At 57.2% G+C, this 15,421-nt stretch overlaps 1 protein-coding gene across 1 annotated transcript in view, besides 4 other annotated features; it reads left to right on the top strand.

Annotated features, from left to right (window-relative positions):
- Positions 1–15,421, top strand: part of SLC6A3 (solute carrier family 6 member 3) — a 52,647-nt gene that overhangs the window by 28,563 nt on the left and 8,663 nt on the right. Inside the window, exons 7-13 of the mRNA NM_001044.5 lie at positions 677–780; positions 2,063–2,187; positions 5,523–5,635; positions 7,029–7,157; positions 7,753–7,852; positions 10,590–10,690; positions 13,789–13,956. Of these exons, the coding sequence (NP_001035.1) occupies positions 677–780; positions 2,063–2,187; positions 5,523–5,635; positions 7,029–7,157; positions 7,753–7,852; positions 10,590–10,690; positions 13,789–13,956 (840 nt within the window). The remainder of the gene's footprint in view (positions 1–676; positions 781–2,062; positions 2,188–5,522; positions 5,636–7,028; positions 7,158–7,752; positions 7,853–10,589; positions 10,691–13,788; positions 13,957–15,421) is intronic.
- Positions 166–1,138: an enhancer, noted in NCBI's record as "H3K4me1 hESC enhancer chr5:1415855-1416827 (GRCh37/hg19 assembly coordinates)". NCBI's record gives its function as "activates a minimal SCP1, AML or CMV promoter by ChIP-STARR-seq in primed H9 embryonic stem cells {active_cell/tissue: H9 hESC(primed)}" and the evidence as "EXISTENCE:reporter gene assay evidence [ECO:0000049][PMID:30033119]".
- Positions 1,139–2,111: an enhancer, noted in NCBI's record as "H3K4me1 hESC enhancer chr5:1414882-1415854 (GRCh37/hg19 assembly coordinates)". NCBI's record gives its function as "activates a minimal SCP1, AML or CMV promoter by ChIP-STARR-seq in naive H9 embryonic stem cells {active_cell/tissue: H9 hESC(naive)}" and the evidence as "EXISTENCE:reporter gene assay evidence [ECO:0000049][PMID:30033119]".
- Positions 3,818–4,318: an enhancer, noted in NCBI's record as "H3K4me1 hESC enhancer chr5:1412675-1413175 (GRCh37/hg19 assembly coordinates)". NCBI's record gives its function as "activates a minimal SCP1, AML or CMV promoter by ChIP-STARR-seq in naive H9 embryonic stem cells {active_cell/tissue: H9 hESC(naive)}" and the evidence as "EXISTENCE:reporter gene assay evidence [ECO:0000049][PMID:30033119]".
- Positions 10,836–12,035: an enhancer, noted in NCBI's record as "CDK7 strongly-dependent group 2 enhancer chr5:1404958-1406157 (GRCh37/hg19 assembly coordinates)". NCBI's record gives its function as "activates an origin of replication core promoter dependent on BRD2, BRD4, P300/CBP, MED14 and CDK7 cofactors, with strong dependence on CDK7, by STARR-seq in HCT116 cells {active_cell/tissue: HCT116}" and the evidence as "EXISTENCE:reporter gene assay evidence [ECO:0000049][PMID:35650434]".

Raw genomic sequence — 15,421 nt, 5'->3', positions numbered from 1 at the left:
GGACGCTGCGGTCATGTCATGTGTGGATGAGGCCGTGCTGTTCCGAGGGCTATTAGGACGCTGCGGTCATGTTGTGTGTGGATGAGTCCGTGCTCTTCTGAGGGCTATTAGGACGCTGCGGTCATGTTGTGTGTGGATGAGTCCGTGCTGTTCCGAGGGCTATTAGGACGCTGCGGTCATGCCGTGTGTGGATGAGTCCGTGCTGTTCTGAGGGCTATTAGGACGCTGAGGTCATGCTGTGTGTGGGTGAGTCCGTGCTGTTCTAAGGGTTATTAGGACACTGTGGTCATGTTTTGTGTAGATGAGGCCGTGCTGTTCCGAGGGTTATTAGGATGCTGTGGTCATGCCGTGTGTGGATGAGTCCATGCTGTTCTGAGGGCTATGGAGCAGGGCACCTCTGGTTCTGTGGAATCGCTGCCTTGATACTCCATGGGGAATCCCAGATCAATGAACACAGACAGCCCCCTGCTTCTCAGGCTCTTCCAGGCCGCTGGCCCGGGAGGGTTCACTTCCTGAGGCTGCATCTTCCACCAGTCGTCTGCTGCCATTTACTTCTTGAGGATGGTGTTGAGTTTAGAGGCCTCAGTGTGGGGCTGGGACAGGAAGGGTGCTCAGGTCCTTTGCCTGTGGCCTGCGTTCTCCTGGGACAGCCTCTCACCGCCCTCTGGCTCTGCAGGTTTGGATTGACGCGGCCACCCAGGTGTGCTTCTCCCTGGGCGTGGGGTTCGGGGTGCTGATCGCCTTCTCCAGCTACAACAAGTTCACCAACAACTGCTACAGGTGAGCCCCTAGCAGGGCCAGGCAGGGGCCTCATCAATACTAGGGAGAGGTCGCTGACTTCCAGAAATAGGGTGTCCCTGGATGAGAACAGGGCGGATCCACTGAACCCGCAAACCTGTGAGCTGCGTGGCCTTTCAGACAGAAGCGACAGCGAGGCAGCTCCCAACACGATTTTGATTTCAACTTTAAAGAAGGCACTGAAGCCAGTGGGTGTGTCGCCTCCTGGGAGGGACCTGCCTAGGTTTGACCTGCGGCCAGATTCCCCACTGAGGGCCCCAAGTGGCAAGGCCAGCCCCTCCCTCCACAAGGACACACCCTCTTCCCTCACACCAGCCCCGGGGGGTCTCTGTCCTCCCTCGCTCAGGGTCCAGCTTCACAACCCCCTGAGTGTGTCCCCCCATCCCATATGCACCCCGTGTTACTTACTGGCAGGCACCTGAAGCCCCGTGCCGGACCCCAAATCCTTCTAAAAACAGAAACAGAATTTTATCCGGGATCTGCTTGCTTTGACCTTTATGGACTTGTGCTTACTTTCTTTCACATCATGAGGCTAGAAACACGGTAAAAATACAAGGACAGTGTGTGCAGCAGAATGGCCAGGCAGACCACAAGCAGGCTTCACTGAGAGTGGGCGCTGGAAGGCAGGTCCTGAGGCAGCGCCTGCCCGCAGCCCACCTGCGTCCACCTGGGTCCAGGTGCTCTGCAGATGAAGTGTGTGGTCCTTCCACCCCAGTGACAGGCCACACAGGAACCCAGGAGGAGGACGCTGGTGCCCTGACCGACCCCAGGACCCTCCCTCTTCGTCCTCGGCTTGCCTCCAGCTCTCTGGTTTCTCAGCCCTCAGAGTGGGGCCCCCAGGCCCGCAGCACCAGCGCCCTTGGGAGTTCATGGGAAACACAGCCCCCGAGACCCCATGAGACCCGCCCAGTCAGGATCTGCATCTTAGCGAGGTCCCCGGGAGGTGTGTGCTCCTAGAGCTTCTGGAAGATCTGCCCTGGGTGAGGTGTCCACAGCAAGACTCGCGGGGCACAGGGGTGGCCGTCTGTTCTGCCCACCCTGAGCCTTGATGGCTGAGCCTTGAGCAGCTCAGCTAGGGGACCAAGGTGGCCCAAGGACAGCTCTGCCAGGCTGCTAAGGAGCTGGCCGTGCTCACTGGGAAAAGTAGCCCCTCCGAAGACCTCCCGCCCCCTTCCCCAGACACAGTAAATTAAGAATAATGACTGGAAAATTGCAGCTGCTGCAGCTCAGCTGGTTCCTGAGACGGCGTGTCTTGTTCTTACAGGGACGCGATTGTCACCACCTCCATCAACTCCCTGACGAGCTTCTCCTCCGGCTTCGTCGTCTTCTCCTTCCTGGGGTACATGGCACAGAAGCACAGTGTGCCCATCGGGGACGTGGCCAAGGACGGTGAGCCCCTCCTGCTGCACCTGGGCCTGCTCCGTGTAGCACCAGCGCCGAGCTCTCAGCAAAGCCTTTTTCCTTGTGAAAGAGGAAGGAGACGCATGGGCCCTGAGCGACTTCAGTGAGAGTTGCTGCCTCACTCTTGAAGGATGGTGGTACACATCCCAGTACAGACCTGCCCCCACCCAGCGCCTTCCCCGCCCTGACCCTCCAGGCCCCCCACCCAGCGCCTTCCCCGCCCTGCCCCTCCCGGCCCCCCACCCAGTGCCTTCTCCGCCCTGCCCCTCCAGGCCCCCCCACCCAGTGCCTTTCCTGCCTTGTGCCTCTCGGGGCCTCCACCCTGGGCTGGGGAACCTCAAGCCCAAATGCAGCTGAGCAGCATAGTTGGTGCCTCAGTCCCTCGACTGCTCCCTGCAGATGCCACATGAGGCTGCCCCACCAGGGTCTGGCGTAGATGCTGTCACTGAGGGCCCTCTAGATGTTTGCTTGCCACGCGGTGTGGGAACATGCAGCTCAGGGAAGGGGAGGAATGAGCTGTTCCAGCAACACCTGGAGGCAGGCTGGGATGCCGCAAACATCAGCTTGGCCACAGAGCAGCCGGGAGATCCCTGGGGCCTCCAGCACAGGGTGTCCCTGCCCGCTCCCCAGGCCGACGCATGACGCTGAGTGTCCCTGCACGCCTGGAGTTGTCTCCGAGAGGGTGGGGAGGGGTCCAGGTCTCGGGCAGGCACAGGTGAGTGGTGGGGGGAGGCCTTGGCCACAGCAAGAAGTGTGCCAGGCAGGATGGAGCCGGCAGGACGGGCACAGATGCAGGGGCTGAGAGTGGGCCCAGGCACTTGGGGCCACGTGCCTGGCTCCGGTGCTTGCAGTGGAAAGCTGTGGCGTTGGCAGCCCTAACTTGGGCCAACCGAGAGCTCCAGGGAGTCCCAAGGCTTCTCGGTCTCTGTCAGCCAGCAGAGCCCCCGCCTGCCTCCCGGCCTGCTCTGCCACATGGATGTGGAGGAGGCCCTTTCGCTCCAGACACGGGCCTGGGTTGGGTGGGCTCCCATGCTGCGTCCCCATCCTTGCTTCCTCTGGACTGTCTTCTCCGGGGGTGGGGTGGGGGCACTACATTTGTGAGGAATGATTGTGCTCAGAAAAGCCCCTGTCCCGTGTGGGTGTTGTTGCTGACTGATCTCTGCCTGGGTGTTGAGGCTCAGTGAAGGCGGGGAGCGACAAGCACCAAGCGGGGGCAGCCTTGACCGCACCTGAGTCTCACAGAGTGGGGCACTAGGACCCTCGCACCGCAGGTAGGAACACGCTCAGAGACCTGAAAGGGCCCACTCCATGCTTGCAACAGAAAGCCAGGGTCGGGGCTGGAGCCACAGCTCAGAGGTGGGCCTCCTAAGCCCATGTTCTTTCCACTAGGAAAAAAAATTCAGTCAAAGCGGGAGAAAGGGAACATCTGCAAATAAATGCAGAGCAGTGAAATTTACTCGGTGCCGCATTTATGCCTTTTCTTCATTCTTTTTGCCCTTTATTATGATAACGAGCATAGTTTGCAAAAACCTCTATTAACCCCTGAAAATAAAGTTGAATGTTCTTCTGTGCATTTCATGACAAGCAAAGTAAATGTCATTTACAGCCTTAATTCTCAAGAAAATAGGGTGAAATGTTAACTTAGGTACAGAAACGAAGGCACGGGTGTTGACATTACATTCCCTGAGCTGATGAATATCTTCCCAGGCTCCTGGCTGGTACCATCTAAGCCCCGGAACATCTCAGGCGAGCCTGCCTCCCCCACCCCACGCGGAGGCTGTCCCCATCCACCAGGGTATCTGGGAGCTGCGAGAGCCCAGGTCTGACCCCGCTGCTTGGCTGATAGTGAGGCCCCTGAAAGACCTTTAGGAACGGCCCCTGGCTCTGGCCTTTGATTATTTAAAAGGCCAGGCGCAGGCCTATTCCTGCAGGCTAGGGCCAGACACGTGCCTGCTGAGGACAGGGGACTCTGTTGCAGGCAGATTGGGCTTGGGAGATGGTGCCAGCCAGTGGAGGATGCAAGGCTTCTGAACTGGTCAAAGGTCAATTGCCTATGGGACTGGTTTTTACTTTGGGGTCATCAGAGACCAAACTGCGTTGACTTTTGGTCGCCTGCCTGCCACACTCTCGTCCCCTCCACCTCCATCCGAGTCTGCCTGCTGGTAGCAGGAAGCACGTGTCGTTTCCCGAGAGAGCTGTGGGGGAACACCTCCTCCGCCTTTGCCATGCCGCCCTCAGCCTGGCGTGCCCCTCGCTTGCAGGGATAGCAAGGTAGCAGGTTTGTCTCTTATCTCCGAAGCCACCATCTGGGCCCCTGTATCCATCAGGATGTGCTGCTCCTCTGAGCCCTCAGGGCCCCAGCTGACAGGAGCCTGTCTCAATATGGCCTGCGGGACCCCGTGGCAGGGGAGGTGGTGAAGGAGCCACACACTCCTCTACCAAGCTTCACTCGCAGGGACCCGCTCACTGTGGGTTCACAGCACATTGGCCAAGTGCAGCCACGTCTAACCTCACGGGAGGGTGGGAGGACCTCAGCTTCCTCATGTGCCTGGAAGGCGGAGGTCAGGAATGTATCCCTAAATGTTTTGCTAATTTTAGAAATTAGGCTACTAAATAGTGTGGACGTGTGTGATTTGTGTGTGTTTGTGTATGTTTGTGCATGCACGTGCATGTTTCTGTTTGTGTGCGTGCATGTGGATGTGTTCTTGCATGTATGAGTTTGAATGCACAAATGAGTGTTCGTGCATGTGCGCGCATGTGTCTGTGTGTGTATATTGCATGGTATGTGTGTCTGAGTGTGTATGTTGCATGGTATGTGTGTCTGAGTGTGTATGTTGCATGGTATGTGTGTCTGAGTGTGTATGTTGCATGGTATGTGTGTCTGAGTGTGTATGTTGCATGGTATGTGTGTCTGAGTGTGTATGTTGCATGGTATGTGCAGGAAAAACTAACTCGAAGGACATTAGCAGATGTCCCTGGGATGAAGGGCAGGACCAGCCTGGAAGCCCCTCCTGCTCCTCCTTGTTTCTGCCCCTTCCTTCCCCAAGCACCCCCATAGCCCAAAAGGACCCAGGTAATTTGGAGGAGCCCCATTGCTGGGTGGTGGGCATGAACCAAAGCCCTCTGATCAGTTCTGGGTTTCCGCTTTCCTGAGTCCCAGGCCTGGTCTGCTGGACATATAGAAGGGGGCTTTTCAGCAGAGCCGCACCAGCCCTAGTCTCTACAGGCCTGTGGCAGGCCATGCTTCTCGGGGCGGGGTGGGGCAGGATGGGCGGGAGAGCACAGCGTGGGCTCTGTGGCAAGCAGGGCGGGTTCTGTTTCAGGGCCAGGGCTGATCTTCATCATCTACCCGGAAGCCATCGCCACGCTCCCTCTGTCCTCAGCCTGGGCCGTGGTCTTCTTCATCATGCTGCTCACCCTGGGTATCGACAGCGCCGTGAGTAACCCGCACCGCCCGGCCCTGTCCTCGGCAGTTGGGTTCCTTCCACCCGAGGGGGCCCTGCCCTCCCAGGGCTAGGCAAGATCCCTGGGCTCACGTACGGCCCCCAGACCTCCTGTCCTTGACTTGGGCGAGCCCCGTGATTATTTGGGAGACCTTTCTCGGGGCTGGAGTGAGTGGTGACTGGAGTTTACCTTTCCCTTTATCCCCCTACTCTGGGGTACCTGTGTGCCCTGCCCTGAGCCACCTACAGATCCTGGAAATGTGCACACACATGCACACACACACATACACGCACACACATACACACATACACGAACACACACATTCACACCACCATGCACATGCATGCACACACATACACACATGCACACACGCACACATACATGAACACACACGAACACACACATGCACACACGCATGCACACACACATACACACAGACATGCATGCACGTGTAGCAGGGCCCCAGCCACCAAAGACTTGGCTCCGGACACCAGAGTGGTGGGGCCTTGGAGGGCACACAGCAGGTCCTTCATATCTCGTGGCTTTCCCTGGAAGCCTCAGCTACCCCATGAGGAATGAGGAGGGCAACAGAAGTTCCTGGCACCTACCAATCCCAGGCCTGGCCCTGAATGCTTTGTGTGTGGCCCCTGCACCTCCAGCTGCTGGGGGTGGCGGGTCCAGCCCTTGATCGGCCCTGGGCCTGCTGGACTTTCTCAGGCTCCTTCTTCCCTGTCAGCTGCTTGGGACCAAAGAACCCAGAATCCCTTGCCTTATAAACGCTGGTCATGCACCCGGCCCCCCACTCATATCCTATCCACCTCGTCCACGGCTCCTGGGTTGACCACAGGCCTCATGTTCCTGACATGAGAGCATGAAGAGGGGTCTGGACCGAGCAAGGTGAAGAAGGTCACTAAGCAGGAGTCAGGTGCCTGGACGGTGTCCCACAGGAGGATGCCAGGAGTCAGGAGGCTCCGTCGGGAAGGCGTAGCCAATGACAAGGCCAGGTGCAGCTGAAAGCTTTGTGTGGGGGACGCATCTTGCTCAGGAAAATCTGGCCAAGCTGAGCCCGTGCAGCAGCAGTGGACAGGGTGGCATTGTTTTAGCCATGCCGCATCTTACCCACCCAGAGACATCGAAGAGGCTGCAAACCCCCTACCGTGGATACAGTGGTCCCTCTGGGTCCTCTCTCCTGCGGTCGTGCCGCCATAGAAGCCCTCGCCAACAGCTGTCCTCACTACCAGGCATCCTGCACCCTGGACGGCCATGTGGCCCCTGTTCCGTGTCCATCCCCGGGTGTGCGTCCACTGGGTGACAAGTAGGTCTTGGCCCAGGCTGCGGTCAGGAGCGCCGCCAGCCTGCAGCCCGACCCTGTGCTCTGTGTGCAGATGGGTGGTATGGAGTCAGTGATCACCGGGCTCATCGATGAGTTCCAGCTGCTGCACAGACACCGTGAGCTCTTCACGCTCTTCATCGTCCTGGCGACCTTCCTCCTGTCCCTGTTCTGCGTCACCAACGTACGTACCATCGCCGGCTTCGCCTTCTCCTGGTCATGTCTCCTTAGCACGTGGCACGGGGCGCCCTGGCTGGGACTGTCAGGCCAGACAGAACCGCAGCACTTCCAGGGAGCTGCGAACCCACCCACCCCAGAAAATGACTCGTAGCAGTGCACAGGGTAACTGCACATCCAGAGCTTGGTCCCAGAGTCACTTCAGCACCTGGACAGCTCCCCCAGAAGCACCCCAGGCTGAAGCTGCCTCCTTCTAGGGTTTGGGGACTGGGGGACGCTGGGGGTGTGGTGGCAGAGCCTATCTATGTGGGAGGGGGAGCCCAGGCCACTCCCTCTCCAAGGGAGGCACTGCCAAGTTCCGCATTCGGTTGCTTCCATTTCTAATTGCACATGAAGCCCTAGGAAGGGAAAGGAGAGGTCATTTTTATTTTTATTTTTTGTAATACACGTGGCCCTAAGAAGCTGCATGTGGGTTGAATTTTAGGGACTCAAACCAGAGTTTTGCAGTGAGTGAAACAATTTGTGTGCACAGTGAATCCCCAGGCTGGGTTTACCTCTGGGGAAAGCCCTTCTGTAGGTCCACAGGCTCCCCTCTCTTCCAGGGTGGCATCTACGTCTTCACGCTCCTGGACCATTTTGCAGCCGGCACGTCCATCCTCTTTGGAGTGCTCATCGAAGCCATCGGAGTGGCCTGGTTCTATGGTGAGTCCGGGGGAAGGCAGCCAAGCCGGCACCCTCTTGTTTGGTGGCTGTGCCACTCCCCTTCTGAAAAAGGCTCCGTGAGGAAACACCTTTCAGCTGCAGGAAGCCTGGGTTGTGGTCATCACAGCTCCGCAGAGGGGAGAGGCTTGGCACTGGTCCCTTTGATGGGATCAGTGAGGTGCTTAGCTTGGATGGCAGCCAGAAGAGGCACACTGTGGTCAGAGGTGTTCACAGCGGCTGGGCGTCTTCTGCCTCCTCCACGCTAGAGGCACCGGTGAGCCCATCCCACCCAGGGGAACACAATCAGATCCATGCTGGGGTTTCAGCAGGGATGTGACATGGTGCCTTTCAAAGGTGCCGTCATCGCCTTCCCTGCTGACCAGAGCTCCAGAGCAGTCGGGACCTGATGATCAGCGGGCGGCGCTCGAACGGGGTGCAGCTCCTGGCCCATTGTGCTGCCCCAGCTGTGTCCTGGGACTTCCACCAGTGGTTTAAACAGCAACAGAAAACCCAGCCTGGAGCCAGGGCTGCCCTTTCCCCACATGCTGACCTGGCCAAGTCACCTCGACTCCCCTTAGTTCTCTCTTCTGTAAAATGGGCAGGAGTGCCAGCTCCGCTTACCTGGCCAGCTCACTTCCAGGGAAGTGGCGAGGCCGAGCCAGGGCATCTCGCCATGAATGTGTGGTCCGGGCGCGGTGACTCACGCCTGTAATCCCAGCACTTTGGGAGGCCGAGGTGGGCAGATCACGAGATCAAGAGATCAAGACCATCCTGGCCAACATGGTAAAACCCCATCTTTACTAAAAAAAAAAAAAAAAAAAATTAGCCGGGTGTGGTGGCACAAGGCTATAATCCCAGCTAGTCAGGAGGCTGTAGATTTTCTGAAGACACTGATGGTATACTTACGATGGAATATGATTCAGCTTGAACCCGGAAGGCGGAGGTTGCAGTCACCCGAGATTGCACCACTGCACTCCAGCCTGGGCAACAGAGTGAGACTCCGTCTCAAAAAAGAAAAAAAAAAATGTGTGGATCCGGCTGAAAGCTGAATGTCTGTGGTGCTGCGTGAGCCCCGGTTTTGGAGGACGCCCAGCTCACCTGCAAACAAGGGGGTCATTTTCTCTGCCTCAGAGCCATGGAATTTATAGCCAGATAAACGCCCTGACTTTGAGACAAATAGGACAAATAGCTCCTATTCTGAGAACATTGTTTTCAGTGTTGCTCTACAGAAAACGGAAATATCAACCTCGTACTTTCACGGGTGTCTGGAATCAATACTTTGTCTATCACTTTCATTGTCATCTTCCCTGAACAAAACATAGACCTTCACAGAGGAAGGGAGAAAGTGCCTTGAATTGCCATGGCCTCCGGAACCACGGGAGATGGGGAGAAGCCGGCCCTGGCGACCTGCACCTCAGAAGACCGAGATCTGTGTTATTTTTCCAAAGAGAAATCCACGCCCCTCTCATCTAAATGAAACAAAACCTGTGCTCTAATAAGATGTGCCGGAATACGCCGGGCTTCCAGCACGCTGCGGTCCTGTAGGTCTTGGAGCTGATGACTCCTGCTCCGGCAGGGGCCCTGGGACCTGCTGGTGGGAGGCAGGGTCTGGGGGCCGAGGGGCCTTGGGGACGCCCCTCTTGGCTTCTTCCGGCCTCACCTCTCTGCATCCCCGCTGCCTCCCACGTCCATCTCTCATGTTCAGAGCTCGGATGCCGGGTGGGTGTGAAGAGGGGATTCTGTGTGGAGGCTTCTTTCTGATGGGACACGGGACAACCGCAAGACTTGCCCCAAATCTCAGCAGATCAGCCGCGGTCACACGAGTCACAGACCAGGCCAGATGTGGGGGGAGAAACCACTCTTAAGGTCTTAGGGTCAGTTCCTAGAAGAAGTTAGATAATACCAGTGAAAGAAAAATATGCATTTCTAAAGTGGACTGCTGGTACTTGCTTTTGGGGAGAAAAAATGTTTATTATGTTTCTAGAAATAGCTTTTCTGAAGACACAGTGACGGTATACTCATGACGGAATATGATTCGGCCTTAAAACAAAAGGGAATGCTGATGTGGGCCGCAGCTTAGGTGGCCTCAGGGACACTCTACAGGGAGTAAACCAGTTGCAGAGGCCCCGTGCCACGTGACTCCACTGACGGGAGGTTCCCACAGGAGTCACATTCATTGAGACAAAAAGCAGATGGTGCTGGGGCCTGGCGGGGGTTGGGGGTCGGGAGGAGTTGGCGTTTCATGAGGGCAGAATTTCATTTTGGAGGATGGAGTTCTGAAGATGGACGGTGGTGACGGTTACACAGTATGTGAATGTATTGATACATTATGAACTCTACACGTAAAAATGGCTAAAATGGTAAGTTTTATGTTATGTGTATTTTACCATAATCTTTTTAAGTGAACAAGAAGTACCAGCAGCAGAGGGAGACAGGGAGAGCCATGGGATGGGGAGGAGGACCCGAGGGGCTGTTGCCGGGGCGCGGGGAGCACCCACCGGGGCACGGCTCTTCCTGGTGCATCTCCAGGGTGGAGCAGGCACGTGGGCTCCCACCCGTCAGCGAGGCACCCAGTGGGCTGGGGTGTGGCCTGGCCTCCTCTGCAGGAGGCTGGGTGCAGCCGAAGCCTGGGGCCGGTAGGTGGGGCCCTTGGGAGTCAGCGAGGACCCCCACACGTGTCCAGCATCGGGGGAATGCGCTGCCCTGATGGACACTGATGCCACCTCTTCTCCCTCAGGTGTTGGGCAGTTCAGCGACGACATCCAGCAGATGACCGGGCAGCGGCCCAGCCTGTACTGGCGGCTGTGCTGGAAGCTGGTCAGCCCCTGCTTTCTCCTGGTAAGGGACCTCGGGCCACCTGCCCTTCCCCCGTCTGCCCACTGCCCCCACTCTGGCACCTGCCCCGAGGTCCAGCGCCCGCATGTGGGTTGTCACTGTGGCTGGAGTCAGGGGCCTCAAGACTCGGCCCAGAAGGACAGGCTGATCCCTGAACTCATCTATAGTCTCCTTAAGGTGGCTTCCACCCTCCCCTCTAGACCCACCGAAAAAACCTCACATGGTCTTGGACCCCTGTCACAGTCCGTTGTGAGTCCTGCACTTGGGCCGCGCCTCTGTGTTGGGAGGGGAAGCTGGAGGTGAGTCGGGCTGTCCACTCACCTCTGCCTGTGAGGATCAAGGTCGAAGTTAGAGCTTCCGGGGCAGTGGGGACAAAGGATGCCGAGTGCTGGATGAGAGCAGCAGGGGCCTCGGCCCTGTCCCGTTGCTCACGCAAGCCTCCCTCTGGCTCAGCAGCATCACTGTGTCCAGTAGGCACTTGCTTCTGTCATCCGCCACCGAGTCAGGGCCCACCGGGCAAGGCCGTCGGACGCTGGTGTTTGTAAATAGAGTTTTGTTGGAAGGTGGCCGCACACTTTCATTAGGGATTGCCTGCAGTGCTTCCCCCACTGAACCACAGAGGCCTGGAGGCTCACAAAGCAAAGCTGTGCTGCCTGATCTGGGCAGGCAACCTAAGAGCTGTCCAAGTCTAAGCAGAGTGTCCCGTGAGCTGCTCACGTAGAGAAGCACCTCCCGAGTCCAGCAGGCACGAGGTGGGGACTGGAACAGGGCAGGGGACTCAGGCCGCACCCTCTCATGGACCAAGGGCTGGTCCCGGAGTCAGCAGGGCCCGCGTGCGTGGAGACCCCTCGTCACCTGCACACAGCAGGTGGGACAGCCCCGTAGTTGCCAGCAGAGGGGTTCCGGGGTACAGGAAAGAGATGAGAGACAGGCCCTATCCCGGAGGAGCTCAACATAGTGTGAGAGAACCTGCCCGGCATCTTGTAGAAATTCCACCGTGTCTGAGCTCCAGGCCGCGTGGTGTGGCTGCACGTAAGTGTTCCAAGTCCAGTTAACTGCGCTTGTGAAGGCTCCCGTTGAAGGTTCCTGGATTCATGGGGCGGGCTTTTAATAGCACACAGACTACATGGCTGTTCAGAGGGGAAAGTGAGGAAGCCCTCCCAGAAAGTCAGCCTCCTGCCCACCTCCCGCTCTCCCCCGCCATTAGTTGAAACTGAGCTGTTTTGCATGAGGACGTTGGCTCCCCTTGAGGGGGTGTCTCCTCTTAACACCCAGAGGGCTGACCTCGATCTTAGGAGATAAAATGTTCTACTGATCTTAGACTAAATCTTCGAACTTCATACAGAAACACACTTCGTAGACTTTTAGATAAAACTACAAACTATACGAAACAGGACTTCATTTTGCCAAGTTGAGAGAAACATGACAATTTCATTGCTCTATGTCATTTTGTATTTAATATGACAGCACAATTCCTATGAAGTTCTGATTTCAGCAGAAACATAACGTCTGTGTTATCATCTGTTTCTTCAGGCTGCGGCATAGTCCCCTGCCCTCTGGCGTGTGCTAACCTCTGGTCGTAAGGGGTGTACACGCCCCAGTCTCGTTCAGATGACTCTGTGGCAGATGATGCCACAGCACTGCTAAAGGGAAATTATGCCGGAGCAAAGGCAACTTACATGGGCAGACTGTGGCCTGGGGAGGCATAGTTCTTTCTAAGAAAGGTGGTATCTAGCAAGAAGTTGAACAATAACAGAGAGCACATTACAGCAATACCTCCATGTCAGATAGGCAAGCCCGACATGTCCAGGGATGCACGCGTGGCTCTTTAAAGCATGCTCAGGGCTCTCTGTGCAGCCAAGGCAGCCGCCCCTGATCCCAGATGCTGCAGGCCACTGGCTTTGCTCGCCAAAGTGCTGCTCACCCTGGCTCTGGTCACGTGACAGACACAACCCCAGCCCCCATCCCAGTCCTCCGCTAGCCGGCTCCAAACCTACAAGTGGCCCGAAGTAGCGCATGAAGAAGATGCTGAGACTGGCATGAGACACGCGTCCAACATGCTTTTCAGGTGGAAGGCTTGGATGTTTTAACTTTTCTGAAATTGAGGAAAAGTGGACAATTGGGAAAAAATTGCATTTTAAGCTACATCATAAACCATATCTATCAGAGCTTCACTTGTGTCCTTGGGAAGGACCCAGGTACACAGAACACATATGTAGGCGTGCAGTACACATGTGGGTGCACAGAACACATTCAGGTGTGAGGTGCATATGTAGGCACATGGAGGATCTTTTTAGATGGTGGTGCATGTTTGTGGAGTGGATGAACAAATGCATGAGCTGCCTCAGGAGAAGCCTCTGGAGAGTGGGAAGCTTCCCCTCCAAGTGGCATCCACCCCACCCTCTGTTACCTTTGTGGTGGTGGTTCTGAGACAGGTCTGTGACTTTATCAGATTTGCTTCTAGAATGAGTAGAGATACGGAGCTCAGATGGCCCTAGGGTGGTCCCGCATGGGTCACAGTTGTGTCTTCAGGCCATGGATGATCATAGATTCAGTGTACTGGGTGGTGGTCAGTTTTGTTTTTGTTGTGATTTCAAGCAAGGAATAGAACAAGGTGGGATACAGCAGGAAGGGATGGGATGGGATGAGATGGGATGGGATAGAGCCGGATGTGATGTAATAGAACAGGATGGGATGGAATAGAACATGATGGGATGGGATGGGAGGGGAGGGGTGGAGAGGGGATAGAACAGGATGGGATGGGAGGGGAAGGGAGGAGAGGGGATGGAACAGGATGGGAGGGGAGGGGAGGGGACAGAACAGGATGGGAGGGGAGGGGAGGAGAGGTGATGGAACAGGATGGGATGGGAGGGGAGGGGAGGGGAGAGAACAGGATAGGACAGGACAGGCTAGATCATGCTTCAGGAGGACATGGCTTGCCCGGGATGCCCAGCTGCCATGTCTGCAGGCCTGGCCGGGGTCTGCACCTGCACAGCTGTGGGGGCTGAGAGACGCTCTGCCATGAAGTGCCTGCCCGCTCCCTGCTTTGTCCTGGCACCGCCGGCTGAGAGCTGCCTGACCTCCGTATCTGCTGGTTGCAGTTCGTGGTCGTGGTCAGCATTGTGACCTTCAGACCCCCCCACTACGGAGCCTACATCTTCCCCGACTGGGCCAACGCGCTGGGCTGGGTCATCGCCACATCCTCCATGGCCATGGTGCCCATCTATGCGGCCTACAAGTTCTGCAGCCTGCCTGGGTCCTTTCGAGAGGTGGGTATTTGGACGGGGCGCCTTCACCCGAGTGTGAGGCCACCAGAAAGGCTCCGTGGGTGTCCATGGCCCCAGTCCTCACCTGCCTGGGTCATCTGTGACCAAGAGGAGGAGACTGGAGGTGGCCACCACAACACTGTGTGTGTGTGTGCGTGTGTGTGTCCACCTGCACGCCCGGGCCCATGGGTGTGCGTCCATATGTGTATTCATGTGTGTGTCTTTAAGTATGTCCACATGTCTGTGTGTGTCTGTGTGTGCATGTGTCTGTGTGTGCTTGTGCCTGTGTGTACATCCACTGTATCTCTGTGTCTGTATGTGCTGTCTCCGTGTGCACGTGTGTGTGGGCCTGGGTCTGTGCTCACATTCGTGTCCAAGTGTTTGTGTGTACTGAGTGCATGCATGCCTACACACTATGGTATGTGGTGTGGTGGACACAGAAGCCATCTGAGGGCGGTAGAATCAGGGGTGATCTAGGTCCCCCCAGGGCCGAGCCCAACTTTGGCTGAACAGGGGCAGCTGGAGCCCCAGGCAGTGGAGGAAGCTTTGCGGAGTCACTGATATGCATCTCCTTTCTTCTGCTTGGTTTTGCCGCCTTTGTGTAGAAGAAAGGCAGGTGGACCAGTCACAGGGCCCTGTTTAACACCCTGGCTCTGTGGTTCCAGGAAGAGACAAGGACACTCCCTCCTTGGAAGAGGGTCGCCCTCACCTGAGATCCCACCACTGGGAACTCCCGGAAGCTGCTTCCTCAAATCCCAGCCTTTCTCAGAAAGAAGTCGCTTGGCCCTGGGCATCAAAACCCCAGAGCAGCACCAGCTGTGTTCAAGGATTCCACCTTAGGGCCACACGGTGTCCCCTGGGCTCAGACATGTGGCAGATGCTCTCAGGCTGGCACTGAGCCAGTCTCTCCAGCAGCCTGGCCAGGCCAAGGCCCAGTGCAGGCAAAGCACAGTGTGTGGCTGGGGGCTTCTGTGGAGTGGGAGGAGCTCTGGGGCTGCCATGGCCCCAGGAAAGCTGATGGCACCCTGCTGTGGACAGTCCCTCTCAGACCCCCACGGGCTGACCTGCCAGGACCCAGCACAGGGGAAGAGCAGGCAGCCGGGCAGTCTCTGCAGGGAGAGAGCTCCTCTGGGAGGCTGGATGGACGTGGGAGGCGGGGCCCAGGTCAGCGCAGAGCTGGAGGATGCCTACAGCCCGGCGGACCTGAACAGCCAGCGCCCTTACCCCTCGCATGGCCAAACTCTGAACGTAAGCCAAGTAAAACCTCAGCAGCTGAGCCAGGTACAAGTGGAATTGTGGTGATGACGTGGGGTGGGGCCACGCACAGGGGTCCCTGTGAGAGGTCACCTGGCCTCAGAGATCCAGATACAGGCATCCAGGCCCGAGAGGGTGAGCTCCTGAAGATGCTGCCTGCTCTGGGAGGACTTGGTGCTGTCCAGGCCCCAGGAGCTGCCGCAGCGGGCAGTGG

The sequence above is a fragment of the Homo sapiens genome, chromosome 5 (assembly GCF_000001405.40).
Source record: "Homo sapiens chromosome 5, GRCh38.p14 Primary Assembly".
Taxonomy (NCBI): Eukaryota; Metazoa; Chordata; class Mammalia; order Primates; family Hominidae; genus Homo; species Homo sapiens.
The sequence above is the reverse complement of the archived record's forward strand: the minus strand, read 5'-3'. Positions and strand labels throughout refer to the sequence as shown.